At 44.0% G+C, this 21516-nt stretch overlaps 1 protein-coding gene across 11 annotated transcripts in view; it reads right to left on the minus strand.

Annotated features, from left to right (window-relative positions):
- Window positions 1-21516, minus strand: part of PTPRT (protein tyrosine phosphatase receptor type T) — a 1158017-nt gene that overhangs the window by 112832 nt on the left and 1023669 nt on the right. For 6 of the 11 annotated variants that reach the window (XM_047439848.1, NM_001394024.1, NM_001394025.1 and 3 more), the window contains one exon: window positions 16631-16818. In XM_047439848.1, the coding sequence (XP_047295804.1) occupies window positions 16631-16818 (188 nt within the window). Of the gene's footprint in view, window positions 1-16630; window positions 16822-21516 lie in introns of all 11 variants that reach the window. The other 5 variants (NM_007050.6, NM_133170.4, XM_017027611.2 and 2 more) reach the window with 1 other exon arrangement.

Consider the following 21516-nt stretch of genomic DNA (forward strand, 5'->3'; position numbering starts at 1 on the left):
CATGCCCTTTCATTGCTTCTGAGACTGAATTTGTAACACCTTCAGTCTACACAGCTCTCTGTCAGCAGTGCAGGAGGAGAACCCACCATTCATTTTAATACACCAGCCTTGCCTTTGCCCATCTATTCCTTACTAGGTCTATCCTAAGCAAGGAGGAACCTGAACCAGGTTGATCAGAAATTCAGCCCCTCAATAAGCCCTGTTTTATTGGCAGGTTCTTAACAGGCCAGTGCTCATGCATGGTTCTACCTTTCTTGCATCTGGTCTCTCAAGTGTTAAGTCAACCTGGGTGAGTCTTTTCCTAGAGTTGGAGTTGGAATGCTTTTTCTGTAATGGGCAAACTAGAAAGAAGTTTGGGCTTTGTTAGTTGTGTAGTCTCTGTTGCAACAACTCATACTCAACTCTACTGTTGTAGAGTGGAAACAGTCACATATAAAAATCAAACAAATGGTCATGGCTATGTTCAAATACATCTCTATTTACAAAAATAGGTGTTGGGGCCAGACGCAGTGGCTCACGCCTGTAATCCCAGCACTTTGGGATGCTGACGTGAGTGGATCAAGAGGTCAGGAGTTCAAGACCAGCCTGGTCAATATGGTGAAACCCCATCTGTACTAAAGATACAAAAATTAGCTGGGCGTGGTGACACATGCCTGTACTCTCAGCTACTCAGGAAGCTGAGGCAGAAGAATTGCTTGAACCCAGGAGGTGGAGGTTGCAGTGAGCCGAGATCACGCCACTGCACTCCTGCCTGGGTGACAGTGAGACTTTGTCTCATAGATAGATAGATAGATAGATAGATAGATAGATAGATAGATAGATAGATGGATGTTGGGCTGGATTTAGCCTATGGCTATAGCTTGCTGACCTTTATTCTAGAAGCATGACTATGATCCTCATCTATGCAGTGGCTGAGTAGGTGGAATTAGTGCTCATTCTGCTACCTAGCAACTGAAGATTCATTAGAGGGCACAGGAAGGAGTTCCTTTCCTGGGCTTCTCAGGCTGAGCCATGTTCTACAACTTAGCCTTTCTTAGGTTTTAGATTCGGGTAATAAAGTGCCTTCCTAGCTATTAATGGGTCATAATTTTGTTCTTTCTGTGTCCAACGCCCTTAGACAAACATCCTGGAAGAGAAGCAATACAGGTGCTAGGTTTTGGGCACCAATCTCTGACCTAAATCTGGGTATGGCAAAAATGTTATAAGGATAGGTAAGTGCTCATTTCACAAATGTGGGGCTTATCTCTCACTTTTCTCCTCTTGTTCTTTCTCCTTCTTCTCCTTTTCGTATTTCTCTTCTTGCTCCTCATTCTACCAAACCTTGCATCCATATTGCCACCAGTTTAGGCCATCTCTAGGTGGAAGATGCTTCTAGCTACTGCAGGTAACTCTTAGAACTCAGATTCCAGCCCTAGCCTCCTCTTCTATCCCAGCCAGGTAACTCCATCTCCTCCAGGCAACTTGCCAGGTCTGTTCTCTGTATGTGAAGGGAGGTTGCTGCTCTCAGTGGTAGCACTGGACTTCTGGATGTCAAAGCTGATCTATTGAGGGTGGATTTTGTACCTGAAACCCTCTGTGATAAAAGCCAATTGTTCAACCAAACATGTCCCCCTGAAAGTGGGGTGAAGCCAAAAGCAGGATAGCATGACTGTTTTCATACTAATTTTTTGAAAAAATAATTGCGTTGAGTACTTGCCATGTGCCAGGGTTTGGGTTACCATTAGCTTAAGGTCTCTTTATGACTGCACATTAGAATCACCTGGGCAGGTTTTACAACTCCCAAAGCCAAGGTCCTTCTCAAGACCAATGAAGTCAGACTCTCTGGGGTGGGACATAGGCATTGGTAGTGTTTAAAACTCCCCAGCTGATGCTACTATGCAGCCATAATTTTTGCAAATAGTGACTTTAAAATATTTTCCCATGAGTCTCCTCATTGGTTCCTTTTGTTTTGGGTTTGTCCCCTCCAATCCATTCTCCACTGTAATCAGAAAGATCTTTCTAAAATGTGAATAGGACCCAGTGATTCCTCTTGCCATTGCCTTCAGGATAAATTTCAAACTCTTTAGTGCAACATCCTTAATGACTTCACCCCAAATGCCCCTGCAGCATCACTTCTTGCTCTTATATCTATCCTACCAGTTATAAGGTGTTTAAAATTTATAAGACTTTTCGCATGCTGTTCCCTTTACCTGAAATTCCCTTCCACCTGAGTCCGTCTGACAAACTCCTACATGTCCTTCAAAACTCAGCGTAAGCATCTTCTTTGTGGAATCTTCTCTGTTCACTCTCCCTCACCCCACTGCATCCCCAGGTAAAGCCAGTTACTTCTATTATTAGATAGACTTCTTTGCATCTAATAATTTAACTCTATTTCTCAACTTGGTCATAGGCTTCTTCAAGGAAAGGGTAGCATCTTTGTCACGACTGTATCTCCAGAACCCGATGCTGGCTCTATACTTCAGATGTGCTTGAAAGACCTATTTAGGATGAATGAATGAGTGGAATAATTAGTGAATGAGGTGGCTTCTGTGCTTTCAGAGGGCAAATATCCTGGGATCTTAGAGGTGTCAGTGACCTTGAAAATTGCCTAGTTGTGTTCCCATCCACAATGGCCTTCCAAGCAGCTGATAAGTGGATCCATAGCATCTATCACTTGGATAACCTCCATGACAGATAGCTCACCACTTCTCCAACTTTTGGCCTCACTTTTGGACAGACTCACCAGAGTTTTTTCTTTACTCAACCTCACTGCACTTTGCCTATGCCATCTCATGGGGCCCCACAGAATAAATGTGTGCCCTTTCTCTGTCCTGTGACATCCTGCAGAGATTTCATGAAAGTCTCTTGTATTCACTCCCAGAATCCTTGAATGGCAGTTTGGGGTCCTCTCACCATCAACAAACACCATGCCTTCCAGGAGACACCCCAGCATGCACCTATCCCTCAACAATCCTAAACCGAACAAAACAGTTGTGATAAGTGGGTGGCAGTTCGTGGGAAACCACACAGGCCCTGTCATGGTCCTGGGAGCCTCTGTCTCCCTTAGTGGGGGCTGAAGGGGACCGAGTAGGCCTGGGGGCTGTGATGATGTTGATAAAAGCAGAGGAGGGATGCCTAATAGAGCCTCTGGGAGGGAGTGGTAATGACCCCGTAATTGGCAGACTTTGATCACACATCCATTTCCCTTTTTAGGGAGCTACAATCTAATAAGGGATAATCTCTTGAAGCAAAAAAAATATGAGGGGGAAAAGTATGAAAGAGAGACTCATTTCCATCTTCAAAGTGAGCAAGCTAAGGGCATTATTTTTCCATTAGTGGCTAGTTACAGTAGATTGACCAGGGAATGGTGGCAGTCATTAGGCGCTAATCACATTCTTTTGAAACCAAAATTGCCATCTCATTATATTCATCCATTATCAATCTCCGCTTTCCTTTTCTCATTCTCTTCTCCTGAGAGTGCTGGGCCCTATTTTTACATTCCTCTCTGAGTGTGGAAATGTTTCCTACTCTTCAACAGTGTTGTTTTTCCAAGGCAGTCATTTTTTTTTTTTTTTTTTTTTTAGTTCAAAAGATGTATTTGGGGATGTCCTTATCCCTGGAGAGCTGCGCCGTGGTATTTATAGAATCCTCAAAAGTCAGATTTGGAAGGATCTTTTGAGAAAATTATTGACTCATTTTATAGATCAGCAAAGTGAGGTCCTGAGACAGGAAATGACTTGCCCAAGAATATACATTGAGTCTGTCCCCACTCCCTCCCTCACTCACTTCCTTCCTTCCCCAGTGACCATCTGGATGCCAGGTGCTGGGATAGACAGGGACCCGGGCAAGGGACTAGATAGGGTGGTGTGGGGAGAACTCTGAAAAGGGGAGATCTGAGAGGGAGAAAAGCAGCCCCTGAATTCTGGGAGCTGACCTGGCACTCACAGGTAGGCCTTGGTGCTCTCCTGCTGAACGTGGACAATTGCACGGAAGACCAACCACAGGCAAGGCCGCTCTGAGGCCACGATGGAACAAGACAAAAGCAAGTTGTATCTGGATGCAGACAAAGATATGAACATTGTCCAAGCCAAAAAAATGACCAAACACCCCCATATTCTGGTTAATATGAGCGGCCTGATTCTTTGCCAATTACAGCTCTAGCCTCTATCTGATCTTCCCTTCTTATAGGTAAGATGTATTAAGATATCCAATCATACCACTTCCCAGTGTGTCCAACCTAAAACAAAGCCTCACCTCCTTAGGGCCTCTTTCAAATCAGCAAACACAGCCCACATTCTGAGTCCTTCCTAACATCCTCTTCCTGAAATGTCCCACAGGAATGCACACTTCCAGGTATGCATTCACTTCATTGCAACAAGTGATAAACCCAACTTGTTCACCTCCAGGAGGTGTGTCCCTGCTGATCTCTGGCCAATACATTTCAGCTAAAAACTAAATGATAAGCAGATGCCAGCTTTGGCGAGAGCTGGGGAAGGAATGTTCCATTCAGAGGGAACAGCAAGTGCGGAGGCCCTGGGATGGAATGAGCTTTTTGTGTTCTAGAGCCTCTAGAAAGGGAGGCTCTCCAGAGCAGAGAGAATAAGAGGAGGATGACAAATAATGTGGATTTGGCTTGGGGTTGGGGCAGGGTGTTCAATCAAGGTCTCGTGGACCAAGGACAAGAACGTGAGTTTTATTATAATTCAATGGGAAAGTTTTGGATTTTTTTTTTTTTTTGAGATGATGGAATTTCCCTCTTGTTGCCCAGGCTGGAGTGCAATGGCATGATCTCAGCTCACCGCAACGTCTGCCTCCTGGGTTCAAGTGATTCTCCCGCCTCAGCCTCCTGAGTAGCTGGGATTACAGTCCTGTGCCACCACACCCGGCTAATTTTTGTATTTTTAATAGAGACGGGGTTTCTCCATGTTGGTCAAGCTGGTCTCGAACTCCTGACCTCAGGTAATCTGCCTGCCTTGGCCTCCCAAAGTGCTGGGATTACAGGCGTGAGCCACCGCGCCTGACCCAGAAACTTTTTAAGAGGGGTAGGCTGAGCTAGTGCCAGCATCATGATAAATGGCAGACAGTGCTTGTCACTGGAACCTTCTTTATCCTTGATGATATGCTTTATAGATTTTAGAATAAAATTATCATCTGGTACCCGCCCCAGACTAACTCTCCCTGCGAGTGCAACCCACCCTCCTATCCACAGAGCTGAGCCCATGGGAGGCTCAGACCACATGACCACAAGTCACAGACTTCTTGTGTTCTGCTGTGCTGACTCAGTCCATAGGACTATGAAACCTACCTCAATGTCCCACTTAGTACGTTCATTTTCTGCTAGAACTGAGAATGATCGCTGATGCCTGTGTGGCTGATTTTTTCTTCTACCTGGTTCTACTGAGCCAAACCAACAGAAGCTTGCCATCCTTCTTTAGACACTCTTCTTTGCACCTAAGCCCTTCTGAGTTATGCCTAAAATAGTAAGATGTCAAAACACAAAGCTTCCTAGAGCAGCTCACTCCCAATTCAAGGCTGAGGGCGTGTCAGCCCATTTCATTTACCCATTTACCTCCTATCCTCAGCAGATTCTGTCATTTGCAATGCCCCCCTTCACTCTCCTTTGCTTGACTGTATCCCTGGAGATAATTGGATATGTTATGCCCTAGGGTGCAGCAAAACCAGGCCAGGGATCGCTGATGAGGCAGTTCCTGGCTGATGCTCCAGGGCACAGCTGAGGGCTTGCCGCCTCCATGTTCAGTCCAGCCTGCCAGGATTTCTCCACACCCCTGTCCAACACTGTACTCTCCTGGTGCAGGGAACACTCTGGAGAGTCTTCAGCAAGGAGGCACCATTTTACCTGGGTCTTTCCTTCATTTGTCTTGTCAAGAAATACACTTGCACACTAACTGTGTATGCGAGTCAGGGAAAAGGCAGAGCTTTGCAAAAGGCAGACAGACTAAAATGTTTGAATATTTTTACTGCAAATAAGTTCACCACTTCGAGTGTCAATAAACGTTTCTGAAAAGAGTCAGTAATACATCCTGAAGGTTATGGGTGGGGAAGGATTTAACTATACAGAAGTAACGCAAGGTAACTTTTTGGTTGATGAAATTCTCATGTGTCCTGATTGTGTTGGTGTTTAAACGACTCTATTTATTAAAACTCATAAAACTGTACACTCTCCCAAAACTAATTTTATACTATGTAAATTTTAAAAAATGGAAAATAACACACCCCACGGAATTTTGTGATGATTAGTGACTACCCGATACAATACCCATAGCACCTGGCACAATGCCTGGTACACAGTAGGTGCCCAGAATCTTCCATCTTCCATATCCTCTTTCCCAGGGATATAATATTGAGCCTTTTTGGTCCACTTGTAGAAATCATTCTCTTGCCATCTTCAGTCAAAAACATCAAGGATTTTTTTTTTTTTTTTAATTTTACTTTAAGTAAGTTCTGGGATACATGTGCAGAACGTGCAGGTTTGTTACATAGCTATACATGTGCCATGGTGGTTTGCTGCACCTATCAACCTATCATCTAGGTTTCAAGCCCCGCATACATTAGGTATTTGCTCTAATGTTCTCCCTCCCTTTGTCCCCACCCCCACCCCCTGACAGGCCCTGGGGTGTCATATTCCCGTGTCCATGTGTCCTCATTGTTCAACTCCCACTTATGAGAACATGTGGTGTTTGCTTTTCTGTTCTTGTGTTAGTTTGCTGAGAATGATGGTTTCCAGCTTCATCCATGTCCCTGCAAAGGACATGAACTCATTCTTTTCTATGGCTGCATAGTATTCCATGGTATATATGTGCCACATTTTCTTTATCCAGTCTATCATTGATGGGCATTTGGGTTGGTTCCAAGTCTTTGCTATTATAAATAGTGCTGCAGTAAACATATGTGTGCATATGTCTTTATAGTAGAATTATTTATAATGCTTTGGGTATATACCCAGTAATGGGATTGCTGGGTCAAATGGTATTTCTCGTTCTAGATCCTTGAGGAATCGCCACACTGTCTTTCACAATGGTAGAAACATCCAGTTTCTTTTTTCTTACAAGGGCAAAGATGGGAAATCTCTGAAACATCTATTCTGGTTTGCCTCAGACCAAAGGGATTCCCAGGATGTAGGACTTTCAGTTTTAAAACTGGGACCGTTTTGGGAAAATTGGGATAAGCTGGTCCCTCTAGGTATAGGTAAAATAGCATTTAGGGAATGGGAACGTTTCATAATCTGTTGGGAGCCTAAGGTCTGGTCTCTATTGTGGTCCACGGGTTCAGTTAACACATTTACTGATGTCGATGGTCAGCTTGTGGGTGACAAGGGAATCACAGCTCTGCAGGTTGTGCACAATCGAAGAGCATTGCATCTATGGGAGCACCATGCATACGGCAGAAATTTTAGGGTTTCCATATTTATTATGAACATTTTCTGGAAGGTGACAGCCAAATATCTTGAGACAGGTGCACCTTTTGTTATTTCACTCTAAGGTGCTGTAGGAGTTAGTGGTGGCCTTGGCAGAGGCCAAGCTTTCAACAAATTCCATCTTCTGTGCTGAAAAGCACAAGACTTAGGGATTATAAATGTGGACAGAGAAGGCAGGAGAGGATGACTAATGACGTCTATTCAGAGTGGCATCAGGAGAGCAAATATTATTGCATACCATGTCACTAAATAGACAGTAATTTATGAGTTCTGCTGGTGAAGCTAAGTAGAAAATCAGATTGCAGCAAGATGGGGGTATTTGTCTGTGACAGGAACTTTGATCAAGGCAGAGAAGTTGAGTGCATGTCTGCATGTAGACTCACAAAACACTCTTTAAAAGGCCCAATTAAAAGCTACAAGTTCTCCTTTAGGTGACAAATTCCCTGCCTTCAAGAAGTCTATAGCTTAATGGGAAATCTCACGCGAGGGTACCTCTATTCCTCCCAGCTGTGAGTCTACAATCTTGGGGATCCCCATAATTCACTTCAGGCTACAGACTTCCAGCTGTCTACACCCGTCTCCATGGTCATGCATGAGCTTCCGGGTGGCTGACTCCAGACCAGCAACTCTCCTCTAAACTTGCAGCCAGCTATGGTGAAGAGGCAGACTGCCAGGGGCCATGATCATAACCTTGGTAACTGTTTTCAAGAAAACTGTGCAACGGGTGTAAGATTCCTATTAAATCTCCCCAACTAGTTTCATTTCTCCTTTCATAGGCAGGCATCTTTGTTTCTCCTAAAAAAAAATTGGCTGCAGCATTTTAATCATTTCGTTTTTTGCTTCCAAGCTTTGCACATGTAGTTCCCTCTTGTACACAACCTTCTCCTCTACCCATCTTCTTCTACTTTTCTCTAACTCGGAGTCTTATCTTTTCTGAAACTTCTGATAGCTTTTGGCAACAAGAAGTGGCAAAAAGCAAGTGTGTCTCCAAAGCATTTGAACTAGAGTTCTGTTACATCATTACATGGTGTGGCAAGACCACGAGCTTTCTTTAAAGCAGCATCTTTATTTTCTTTATTTATCTTTCTATCTCCAGTGCCCAGTGTTAGGTGCACAATAAATACTCAGTCAGTGTTTCTGGCCAGATTAGTGTTCATAAAATAGAAGCATATACTATCAGCCTTTAGAATTTCATGCTAAGCCTGTAGTCAAACATTTCACAGATGAAAATGAGACCCAGAGAGGGAAGAGTCTTGCCCAAGACCACCCAGAGTCTCAGGAGCAGATTGAGGACCAGGTTTTGACTCTTGGTCAAAGGATTTTTCTATAGTACCACCTGAAAATTGCTCACTTGGTTGGGGGAGATCCTGTATTAAATACACAAAAAACCCACCATGTGCTCTGTTAGAAACAATATTGTAAGTAGAACAATAAAAATAGGCTAAAAGGGAAAGACTGAGTCTCTTCCCTTTTCCCTTAATGGGGAATCTCACACGAGGGTACCTCTATTCCTCCCAGCTGTGAGCCTACAATTTTGGGGATCCCCATAACTCACTTCAGGCTACAGACTTCCAGCTGCCTACACGTGTCTCCATGGTCATGCATGAGCTTCTGGGTGGCTGACTCTAGGCCAGCAACTCTTCTCTACACTTGCAGCCAGCTACAGTGAAGAGGCAGACTGCCAGGGGCCATGATCATAACCTTGGTAACTCTTCCAAGATCCTAGATCCCTCCAAGATCCTTGGTAACTCTTCCATGATCATAACCATAGTCTCTTCCATGTGAGCTCTTTCCTGCTGGAAAACTCTCAAGTTTGAAACCACAGCGGTCACTGATGGCTTTTGGCCACTCCCTATAATGGCCTATTGTCTTTTTTCAATCTGGAGGTGGGGTGGAGTGGAGTGAAACGAGCAGGTGGAGCCCAGGTATTCCTGTTTTGGTCATTATGAGTTCCCAGAGTTGAAGAACCCCATGGATTTCCCATTCATGATTTGGGCGTGGGCCAGTAATTCCTCATGCCCCTCCCTAGAACCATGCTCATCTGCAAATTGAGGAGCTGAACCAGAACCTTTCTGGGGTTGCCTGTGGTGGGATATTCTGTCATCACTCTGTTACCAACTGAGGAGAACAAACCTTGTGGGAGAAGCAGAGGTGTCCTCAGACACTGCTCAGGGGGCTCTGAGCAGAGAAGGGAGCACCTGGGGTGACCTGAAACTTCCATCTCTATAGTTATACCCCATTCAAAAGCTGCCTGCCTGCCATCACCCCATCACCCACAGATGACTAAGAACAAGATGGCAACACAGGCCTTCCCCACAAAAGCCATACATATGGTGTGTCCGTCCTGAGCTGGAAAATGAACAAATGTTTGCTCTTCATTAGGCTGCATCATATTCCTCACAGCTGTTCCTTGTTGCTTTAAATAGTCTTAATGGAGCTGTAATAACCAGTACCTTCTGGTTGCCCTACTGGGCTGGTTCCATTCATTATGGCGACAGCCTGTCTGGATTGAACTGGGATGAATGTGCTTCTTCCTTCTCTCCCATCACAAAGTCACCTCTTCCAATTCTCCCTTTTCTTCCCTAAACCTGCTGCTCTTCTGACTACCATGGCAGCAGTTACATGGGACACAGATAACTCGGCTCTCCAGCCCACATCTCTTATATTTTGCTGTGATGCTTAGGGTTTTGCTGTGTAACAGGGGAAGGTGGGAGAACTGGAGCTGGGGGGGAAGCAGGCTGGGGAGGAGGGAGGATGCTGTGGTTCAGAATCACATGCTCTTGACTTTAATAGGAAGGGTATATGGTTCAGAATCACATGCCCTTTCATCAGCAGGAGTAGACCTGAGGGTTGGCAGAGCATGCCAGGGGATGTGTGTGGGCACATGCTGGGGACTCCATGGGTTTTCTTAGTGGTTCTCAGCTTTAAAAGTATATTCACATCAACCGGAGGGCTTAGAAAACACTGAAGTATATATCCCACCCCCAGTGATTCTGAAATGTGGCTGTACACTGAAGTATACATCCCACCCCCAGTGAAACTGATCTGAAATGTGGCCTGAGCATTGGTGTTTTTTAAAACTTCCCCAGGTAACTCTAATGCGCAACCCAAATTGAAGGCCTCTGACTGAGGCTCAGATCTATCTGGCAGGTGAAGTTAATTTGTCTTGGGCCTCCTTGAGCTCCTAGGAGCCCAAGGCCCTTGGCCAATTGTGGTTTTTAGAACTTGAGACATAACCATGGAAGCGGCAGCCCCAGATAGTGAGGTCCCATGCGACCATCAGTGGGAGGGAGGCCCAGCTGGCTCGGCCAATTGGTTCTTATTTAGACTCCCAGAATATCAGTGACAGAAGGGTTATTTGGATCACTTTGACAAACCCCTTTGCTCCCACTGCATAAATGTGGAAATGGAGGCCCAGAGGAGAGTGACCTGCCTAAGGTCACCTGAATACTTAATGAATGTTATAGGACTTGATTCCAGGCATTTTGACTCTTCAATTCAAGATAGTTCATACATTATTTCAAATAATTGAACTTAAAATATATATTGAGAGACTCAAGTTTTCATGCCAACGAGAACAAGCTGATTTTATGGCTCTACATGCAGAAAAAGTGCGTAGGCTTGTCTGGGCTCTGGGCCCAGTCTCCTGGTTTGGGCAGCCCCATATTTTCCTTGAATTACTGTCCCAGCCGCCTACCTGCCTCTGTTGTCCCTGCTCTGATCTCTACAAGATCTAAAATGCAAATCTACTTTAGAAAGTCCTGCTCTCTTCGATGGCTCCAGTGGCTTCTTGATTACAATCCAAAGTCATTAGTGTAACAAACACTCATCTTTTGCTTCATCCTGGCCCCTGTTGACAGTTTCAGCCCCATCTCCCTCCATGCTTCCTCCCAAACCGTTTCTGGTTCCCCTCACTCAACCTGCTGTGCCCACCCCTGTGCCATAGCTTATGCTAGCCGCTCTGCCTGGAACGCCCTTCCCTTCTTTAATTTGGTTCTTCCTACTTCTCAAGCTTCGGTTGAGGCTTCATGTCTTCCAGAAAGCCACTGGCTATTTACCTTTAGGCTGGGTTAATGCATCCCACCCCCAAGGATTCTCATAGCTCTGGATATACCTCTATGGTGGCATTTTTTGGCTCTCAGAATAGGCTCTACATTCCCTAGCAGGCAAGGGCTCTATTTAGTTCCCAGAGCCTAGTACAGTGTCTGTACCCTGGAAAATGCTCCCATATCTTAAAGTTGAAATTCTGAAAGGCCTGGTCCTAGGTCCTTGTCTCTGTCTATACTCACTTGCTTGGTGACCTCACCCAGTCTTGTGGCTTTAATCATCTATAGGCCAATAACTCCCAAAGCTTTCTCTCCAGCCCAGGCTTCTTTATCAAATTCCAACTTCATAGATCCAACTACCTTCTTGCCACCACATGGAGACACTAATATGTCTAATGGACATTGCAAACTCAATTTAACATGAAACTACTGATTGTTCCAGCTCTGCTTTACTTGAGCATCCCCATTTCCATTAGAGGCAGCTCCATCCTACCAGTGGCACAAACAACAGCCTTGGAGTTACCCTTAATTCCTTTTGTAACATACACCATGTGTTAGGAAATGCTGTTGGCTCCATCTTTTAAATATATTCAGAATCCAACCACATCTCACCACCTCCTCTGCCATGCCCTGAGTCATCGTTGTCTGTCACCTGGGTTACTGCAATGTCCTCTTAACTTGCTTTCACCCTTGCCTTCCTAAGTTCCATTCTCAACACAGTAGCTAGAAGGAAGTAAGGTCAGATCATTAGCACTTGTCTTCTCAAAGCTCTGAGGTGGCTTTCCATTTTAGTCAGAGTAAAAGCCAAAGTCCTTATAACGGCTTGTAATGCATAGCATGGTCAGGTCCCTCTTTATTTCTCCAGTCGAATCTCCTATTACTCTTATCCCTTGCTCACTCTTCCTCTGCCACCCTGGCCTCTTTGCAACTGCTTGTACATGCCAGATATATTACTCTCTGGATCTGGAACTCTCTTCCTCCAGATATCTTCCACCATGTCTATATTCCAAGTTTCGTCATCTAATTAAGGACTATCCTTTTATCCTTTTTACTATTGGAACCTCCTCTACTTCATGTCCCTGGAACAAATCTCCCTTCCTTGCTCTATTCTTTCTTTTTCCATGGTACTTGTGGCAGACTGTATTATTATCCAAAGATTTTCTTTTTCTTTTTTTTTTTTTGGAGATGGAGTCTCACTCTGTCCCACAGGCTGGAGTATACTGGCACGATCTCAGCTCACTGCAACCTGTGCCTCCTGGGTTCAAGTGATTCTCCTGCCTCAGCCTCCAGAGTACCTAGGGTTACAGGCACCCACCATCACGCCTGGCTAATTTTTGTATTTGTAGTAGAGAAGGGGTTTCACCATGTCGGCCAGGCTGGTCTTGAACTCCTGACCTCAGGCAATCCACCCACCTCAGCCTTTCAAAGTGCTGGGATTTTCTTCCCCCCCCAATATTTCTTGCTCTGCATGCTCCTCTAGAATCTGGCAACTGCCCCTCCTCCTCATCAAGGGATAGAGTCAAATTCCCCTCTCCTAGAAAGTGGGGAGTTTTTACCTGCTTACAACCAATAGTACATGGTAGGAATAATGCAGTGTGATACCCAAGTTTGGGCCACAACGGTGATGCACTTTTCACCTTGTTATCTGGGGAGCTCACCTATGGAGTTCTGAGCCACCATGGAAATCGTCCACCTATCCCAAGGCTACTACACTGTGAAGAAGCCCAGGCCACTGAAGAGGCCATGTGTAGGTCTTCCAGTGGACAATCCCAGCTGAAAGCCTGCATCAGTCACTAGACATGTGAGTGAAGACATGTTCAGATGATTCCAGCCCCCAGCCTTGGAGACTTCCTAGCCAAGGCTCTGAACACTGTGTAGAAGAAACAGGTTGTCCCTGTTGTACCCTGCACAGATTCCACAGAATCAATGAATGCAAGAGATTGGTTGTTTCATGTTGTTAAAATTTGGAGTGGTTTGTAACATAGCAAACAGTATTTCTCACTGTCTAACACACTACATTATATAATTTGCTTATTTTTTTAAGCTTATGTTTATTTCCTATTTCCCTTTCTAGAATACAAGCTTCAGAAGGGCAAGAATCTTTGTTTCATTCACTGTTGTATCCTAAATACCTAGAATTGTCCCTGGGAATAGTAAATAGTACATATTTACTGAACAAATTTTAAGTGATTATTCAACTGAATTGAATTTTGTCTTCTGATGCAGCTTGCTATGGCTGAGATGTCCCTTAGATGTCAACTTGTCAAACCCACTCATGTGTATGAAAACACTGAACAGAGCAGAGAAGTGACAGGCAACAAACAGCACAGAGCAGGTTGGTATGAGAGTAGCACTGGAGGCTCAGGAGTCTTTTATCTGCAATAGGACAATGATTCTCCTAGCAGATCTGTGACTCCTATGCTCAGGAGGATTACCGAGATATCACAGGAGCCTTGATGATCAAAGCAATCCAGCTGTATTCTGGGCTGGACATTGCGGGCTAGCACATTGTGAAATGACTTTTATCAGGCAATATTTTCCAATTAACCCTCAGTTAATCAGAAAATAATGTTAACTAGAAGCTAAGCTTTACAGCTTGCTGATTAATATAATTTGGACTAATTGAGGCCAAGGCTAGCCTAGTTAGATTTCTGGTTGAGATTCAAATGATGAAATAACATGTATTGTTTGTTTTCTCATTATAAAAGCTGTTCATTTCCATGCTAGAAAGTTTGGAAAATACAAAAGGGTACAACGAAGAAAGTTTGAAAAGCAACTCACCACACAGGGATGAATGCTTTAAAAGAAATATTAATCTAGAACGAAATGCATGAAAGTAGTCAAATACACTTGTAATTCTGTCTTCAAATTTCAGATTGCAAGTTCTTACATATGTGTTTCTCAGCATTTGGCTACTTGTCCCTTTTTTTTTTTTTGGTAAGCCACATATCTCCCTTAATGATATTTGAAATTTTTAATCAAATTGTTATGACTAATGTTGAATATACCATTTCCTTTCTTTCTTTTTTTTTTTTCACCCAAACAGCTATTTATTATCCACCTCCCATACTTCCAGTTTCTTTTGGGAGATATGCCACCTGGAGGCTGTTTTCCCAATCCTATGTTGCCTTCCTCACTTTCTTGCTAATTATTAAAATATAACCCATCCTCTGAAGGCCATGCTGTCTATAGAATCTTGTTTTTTTTTTCTTGGATATATGGCTTGAAAATATTTTCTTTTTTTAATTATTATTATACTTTAAGTTTTAGGGTACCAAATAACATAATCTTCCTGACATTTGTTCAACAAGCAGGTCTGCATACACACACAGAAAGCATGCTCACATGCACCCTATGTCCCAGAGACTGGGACCATTCAACCCCCTAGGAAATGAGATCCAGGGATGGGTAGTGATGAGATCATCTTCTTCAACTCTAATTCGAATATCCTTTCAAGATTTGTAGATGAGAATATGAAAAGTGCTATTTTACTTAGACCGTTTTTGAAATTAAGTGCTAGCTCTCCCAAGCTTGTAATTACTTACATCCATTGACATAAACATTTTTGTTCTTATAAATATGTCAAACATGCCCCTTGTCACCATGTTTTACACTCTCATAAAGTTTTAGGACCAGATAGGTCCTGAGAGATCACCTTATCCAAATTCTTCATTCGACTAATAAAGAATTTTAAAACTCAGATAGCAAAATTCTAAAATCAAACAGCTTACTACATTGGAATCCAGCTGTCTGCACCCCCAGTTTAGCACAATTTCATGACCTCATACGACTTCAGAAATATTGCTTTGTAAGCTCTTTCTCAGAATATAGTCTGAGGGATAAACTTAGTCTGCAATATTAAGAATTCCAAATGTGTGGAGTCTGAGCCAATGAGTTTTCTACTGCACACAGCAAAACTGAATCAAGCATAGCTGGGGCACACGCTGCATGTGAAGAAAAAAAAAAGAACAAACAACAAAAAAACCACAAATACATATAACTCAGACCATGGTACACAGAAGATACTCAAAAGATATTTTAGGAAAGAAGGAGGGAAGGGAGAGACAGGAAAGGAAAAGTGAAGAAAGAAATTCTTGTTTTCAAAGCTGGCTGCAGCTGGAGTCTAACTGCAACCAGGAGAGTTGCAGAATTATTCTTGGAGAGTGAGCTGCTCTTTGGTTCAGAAAAACGTCTTAATGCATTTTCCTTTTATTTTATTTTGCTTTTTGTTTGTAAAACGTGAGGCCTAATGGGCAGGATTTGAAACAAAAAGAGTGAGATAAAGAAAGCTAAATTGTTCTGCAAAATAAAAGAGGAACGTGGTGCCCTTTGTCTGGATGCTGAGGGGTGGGGGTGGAGGAAGTTTTGAAGACAGTAAAGAAGACTTTGAGGAGAAATTAGATAGAGACCTGTCAGGAGACCAGAACCTTAGAAGGCCTTACCAGCAATGTAGATGGTTAAGGAACTTATAAGAAGAACAACGTTGTATTGAGCTGCTGCCTGTCCTTTACTGCAGTCCTTCTCTATTATTCCCCAAACCTCGGTAACAACCACTACCTGCAAATCCTTTGTGTTAGGGATGCTTTGGGGAGATGGGAAAGGGATGCCCAGTGCAGGGTGAAGAGATGGTGCAGAAAGAGGGAACTGTGGTCACTGGAGATGAAGCATTGCCTTCGGGGGATGGGAGCGGGGACCAGAATACCACAGAAGCTTGAGTATGAGACAAGAGGTGACCAAGGGCAAGCATGCATGCTGGAAATCATTGGCAGGGGAGATGTGCTGGCTTTTCTACAGCATGTGGGATGGGAGCTTGAGCCATTCTGGCATAGTGAATGGAGGTGAGACTCCAAAGTGCAGAAACGTTGGAGGTAATGAAACTTTGGATAATGAAAGGGGAAGGGGAGAGAAACAAGAGTGAAAAAGGATGTCTTAGAATTATTTAGCATGGTGCTTCTCAAATTTAATGTGTATACAAATCACCTAGTTTCTGGTTAAAATGCAGGTTCTGATTCAGTAGGGAGGGATGGGGCCTGAGATGTTGCATTTCCTACACGCTCCCAGGTGATACTGAGGCTGCTGGCCAGGGAGCCATACTTTTTGTAGCAAGGCTTTAGTGCCCAAATAAGCCTCTGAAACTATCAGGAAGTTTCCCCACAGGCTGGTCTCTTACCTCGTATTCCTCCTTGAACCCGTAGCCCTGGCCTCTCTTCATCTGCGTGATGTGCTGCAGCAAGTCAGCCACCCGGATGGCGGGTTGGAACTGGTCCCGGGGGTAGCTCATCTCCACAGGGTCACAGGTGCGGTAGGGATGAGTCTGGATCGTGAGGGTGGGCTGGGAAAGCTCCCCGCGGCTGCCATCTGCTTCGAAAAGAAGGAGGCAGAACAGATCATCACCTATAGAAGCTTTGCCCTTTGTCCTCCCTGTCTCCCCCAGCTTGGCCTGAGGAGGGCAGAGGGAACCAACTTGGGACTCAACTGATAGGGAAACTGCAAAAGGATTGGAGATACACTCCTTCCCTGGCCTGGCTGTGTTGGTAGATCTAAGTATCAAACCCACAAGCAAACCAATGACCACAACACATTTCAAGGGCACAGACTGATAAAGTTCCAGGTTGTTCATCATCCCCGTCTGTCTCAGTCCTTCGTTTAGACTTTGTTGGGCAGAACCACTAAGAAGCTAGGCAGGCTATTTATTGGGAGCCCCCTCCTGTTTCGGAAGCAGAGAGGCTGGAAATAGTGCCTGATGCCTGTCTGCAGGGGAGGAGAGCCTCAGGTGGCCTCAGGTACTCGAAGATTGGAGTCACATGTATAATTCTGGTCTATTTGCCTGCATGGCTGTGACCTGGCTTCTCTACTATTTTTTTTTCCTTTGAGTTTTACCCTGGGAAGAATTGGGGCTAGTCTTGGACTGCCAGAAGCTAGCAGGGACCCTGACCCTCCCAGCTGCTCTCTCTAGTTATGAGCTCTGCCACAGTGACCACCTTCTTGCTATTGTATAGTTTCCCCATCACTTAATACTATTAATCCAGTGGCATCACTGAACCCACTTTGCAGATAGGGAAGCCTGGGCCTCTTCCTTCAGTGCTGCTAGCTACTTTCCCCGGGCCTGGATGCTATGTCTCATCGCCTTCATAAAATCTCTCCCTGATGTAGGATCTATATTCTCTCTTGATAAAAACCTTTTCATCCAATGAGTTGCTTTAACTGCCTTCTGTCAGTTTGGTCACCCTGAAAACTGATGCCTGGTCAGATTGGGTTTGAATTCTTCTGTTCCCCTTGGACGACTAGAACCAATTTCTTGCTTACCACCTCCCTGCCAGGCATACATTCTTGATCTCTCAGGGCCAGTTTACCTTTCCCAGAACCATCTAGGCTTGGTCTTCCCAACCTCCTTCCAAAGACATGGACAGTCTATGCCCCAGACCATCTTGTTTGTGGCATGCAAGAGATGAGAACTGCCAGCTGCAGCAGTTAATGTGTCTCCCCCAGATGTTTTCAGACCCTGCAAAACACCTATGCAGGTACCCACTCGGCCTATGCCATACTCATTCCCTGGGAGGTTTAGCATATATTCCCAATTTTCTGCAACTTGTCTTTTCAAAATCCATGTGCCCTTCAGCTTATTTGCCTGTCATGTTGGAATACTCCATCAGACATGGATCCTGTGTGTGAATGCACACTCTACTTCTCGGCAGCAGCATCGGCAAGCCTGTTCCTGGCAAGGAAAGATAATGGAAGGGAACACCTGACCTTCCTGCTTTCTAGGTGACCAACTTGTCCCAGTTTGACTGACAATTTTCCAGTTTTAACATTGAAAGTACAGCTGTTGGGAAACCTCTCAGTCATGGGCACACAGGAATGGTTGGTCACCCTAATGCTTTCACTTATATCTGTGGTTGGAGTAGGGGATAAATTTTTCACTTTGCAGCCTTCTGCCTGCCTCCACCTACCAAGGGAGGAGAGGCTACTAATCTGACTGGTCTGACTTTGAGACACTGATGGGGTCGTACCTAATTAGTAGGTGGGGTCATCGTAGGCAGAGTGTGGTCTCTAAAACTTCCTAATTCAGGGTGGTAGGTAAACATCTCCAAAGGAGAGACTGTCCTTTGGGGACCAGCCAAATAACCCCTGGACTGCTTACAGAAAGATTTCTAAGATTTAGATTTATGCACAAGAAAGAAGGGCCTAGGCAAGTCGTTAGCAAAACCTTCCTGACTGCACAGAGAAATACTGCTTACTTTTTCTCCCGGGATTTTAGGTAATAGCTAGTACATGTTCACTGGCATTGCTTAAATGTACCACTTGGCAAACATGGGGGTGTTCCCTTTCTCCATCAACCCCTTGGTTTCATGAGTTCGACTTACTGAGAACCCACTCTGTGCCAAGGACTATGGTAGGCAGTGGCAATGCAGACAGAAATACTGATTCCACCCTCAAGGCTTGACTGTCTAGCAAGGAAATAGACGAGAAGAATCAACTGAAGAAAAAGGACAGAGCCTGAGAGATGAAGGCACATGTAGTTAAGAACAAGGAGGTTGATAAGGAGTAAAAGCTGTGGGTAGAAATGTCAGGGGAGGGCAACACTGTAACAGATGGTGCAAGGCAGATCCAGAGACTGTGAATGTGCAAGACCCTTGAAGCCAGTGTGAACCTGCTGAAGGGTTTTAGGAGGAATCTCCTTCTTTAAAGACTCACACTGTTTCTTGTAGGTGTCCCAGCTGTCATGAATAGCTCTCATCGAAGGCATCCTTCCAGCGAATATCACTCCTGTGATGGTGTGATTGGAAATGGAGAGGAAGGGAGCACTTGTGTTTGATTCATCTAGAGATGGTACAAAGCTATGGCAAGAGCCACAGAGGTATGGATGCTGCATACCTAAAGCTTGGAGTCATGCCATACTCTATGATTTCTATGAAAGGATGAGCTGAGTCAATGCTAGGAGGCCTGTGAGTATTTCCCACCAAAGCTACCATCAAACATGGGGACAGTTGTCTTCAGAGACCCACAGTCTCCCAGAGGAACTTGGGGCATGGGCTGCATGGGAGACCAGCTGCCTGGGAAAGACAGGCTTCCTAGGAATGGGAACTTGGCTTTTTATGTGTGTGAGAAATGTCAAATGTTTCCAAAACCAAATAGCTGTCAATATGGATATTTTCCCTAAACACATTGCTAGACAGACTGTAAACTTGGTGTCAGCAAAACCAACACTGGAATGGAAAATAAATGCATTGAAATTTAACAACTTGTATTGCTGTAACATTTGCAATAATGTCAATGCCAGTGCTAATGATGCTATGAAGACTCAGAACCAAGGGATTTTCAAGGTTTATTAATCCAACGGGTTAGACTCCCCTTTCCAAAGTATCTTACCTCACCTATTCCCTTATTAACCTCTGATAATGCAGAAGTGATGTCTTTTATCACACTCCATTTCACCAGACGCACTATACTTAATTTTCCATCGTTAGGTTTAATGAAAACCCAATTTCACAACTCACTTCTCTCAGGAACCTACAAGTAATGCTACGTTTTTATCAGGCCCAATTAAAAGACGTTATGATGTTCCTGTTCAAGAGGGAGCCTTAAAACTAATGTGCGATTCTGCTGCTAATTCAACAAGGGCACTGGAATTCACACGCTGCTCATAAAATGTAACTCACACCAGCTGGCCCAGGGACAGAGGATTTTTCATTTTTTCTCCTCACCAGCCCCTTAATTCTCATGCCTTCTTCTGATTTATGGGTTTGGTATGTTTATTTATCGTGCAATAATATTTTGGATTTCTTTCACACTTTTTATATAGCTGTTACCTAACCCTGTGAATTCCCCTGCAGTAACTCTTGTTACTGCCCGCGAGGAGCTTGTGGGATGGGCAGAAGGATTTTGGTGCTGTGTATGAGATTTTGGGTTACTGTCTCACTGATTTCCTCTTTGCTGTCTTCCTGCTCTCTCCTCCTCTTCCTTGGGATCCTAGATTCATCACCGCTGCTGCCCACCCTTATCCCCTGCCCCACTGCTACCAGCCATATAGATCTCCCTCTACCTTTAGTCACATATTTCCATCACTTACTGGGAATTGCCACTCCAACTGGTTAAGAAATATTTAATGAGTACCTATACTGTACAATGCACGTTAGATATTGTGTTCATACAGCAGGGAGGTATGTTCAGGGAGAAATAAGCAGGCCACAGCCCTTGAAGGAGGGGAGAAGAAAATATAAGGTGTGCGTGAATAAGCCTAAGATAGGAAGAGACAGGCCCCTAAGAGATGGAAGAAGGATGTGCCATGGGGTTTGGCAATCTGGAAACATTCTCCAAGCATTAGGCATTCATGATCCACCTCTGTGTCTCTTGCCATAGTTGTGTACCATCTATGTGACAGCTGTCCAATAGAACTTTCCACAACAATGGAAGTGTTCTACATCTATGCTCTGCAATTTGGTGGCCACTAATCACATGTGGCTACTGAGCGTCTGAAATGTGGCTGATGAGACAGAGGAGCTGAATTTTAAATTTTGTTTAATTTTAATTAATTCAAATAGAAATATTTACAGGTGGCTTATGTCTACTATATTGGGCAGTGCAGATATACAGAAAGAGATAGGGAAAGAAAGAGAGTTCTAGAGTCACACAGTGGGGCAAAGAGGTCTAGAATAGCACTGGCCAGTGGAAATATATTGCAAGCCATGTATGTAATTTAAGATGGTCTTGTGGCAACATTAAATAAGGCGAAAAAGAACACATGAAAGTAATTTCAATAATACATTTTACCTAACCCCATATGTCTGAAATAATATTTCAACATATAATCACAAAAATTATTAATGCTATATTTTTACATTCTTTATTCACACAAAAGCTTTGAAATCCAACGTGTATTTTACACTTACAGCACATTTCAATTCAGACTGGCCATATTTCCAGGATTCAACAGACACTGGTAAATGGTAGGCTAATGTATGGGACAATGCAGGTGCACACAGACTTATCCAGAGCCAGATCAAGTTCTAAAGAGAGGTAATTTAGAGCTGGAGTAAATGCTAAATAAAAAGACAC

The sequence above is a fragment of the Homo sapiens genome, chromosome 20 (assembly GCF_000001405.40).
Source record: "Homo sapiens chromosome 20, GRCh38.p14 Primary Assembly".
Lineage (NCBI taxonomy): Eukaryota > Metazoa > Chordata > Mammalia > Primates > Hominidae > Homo > Homo sapiens.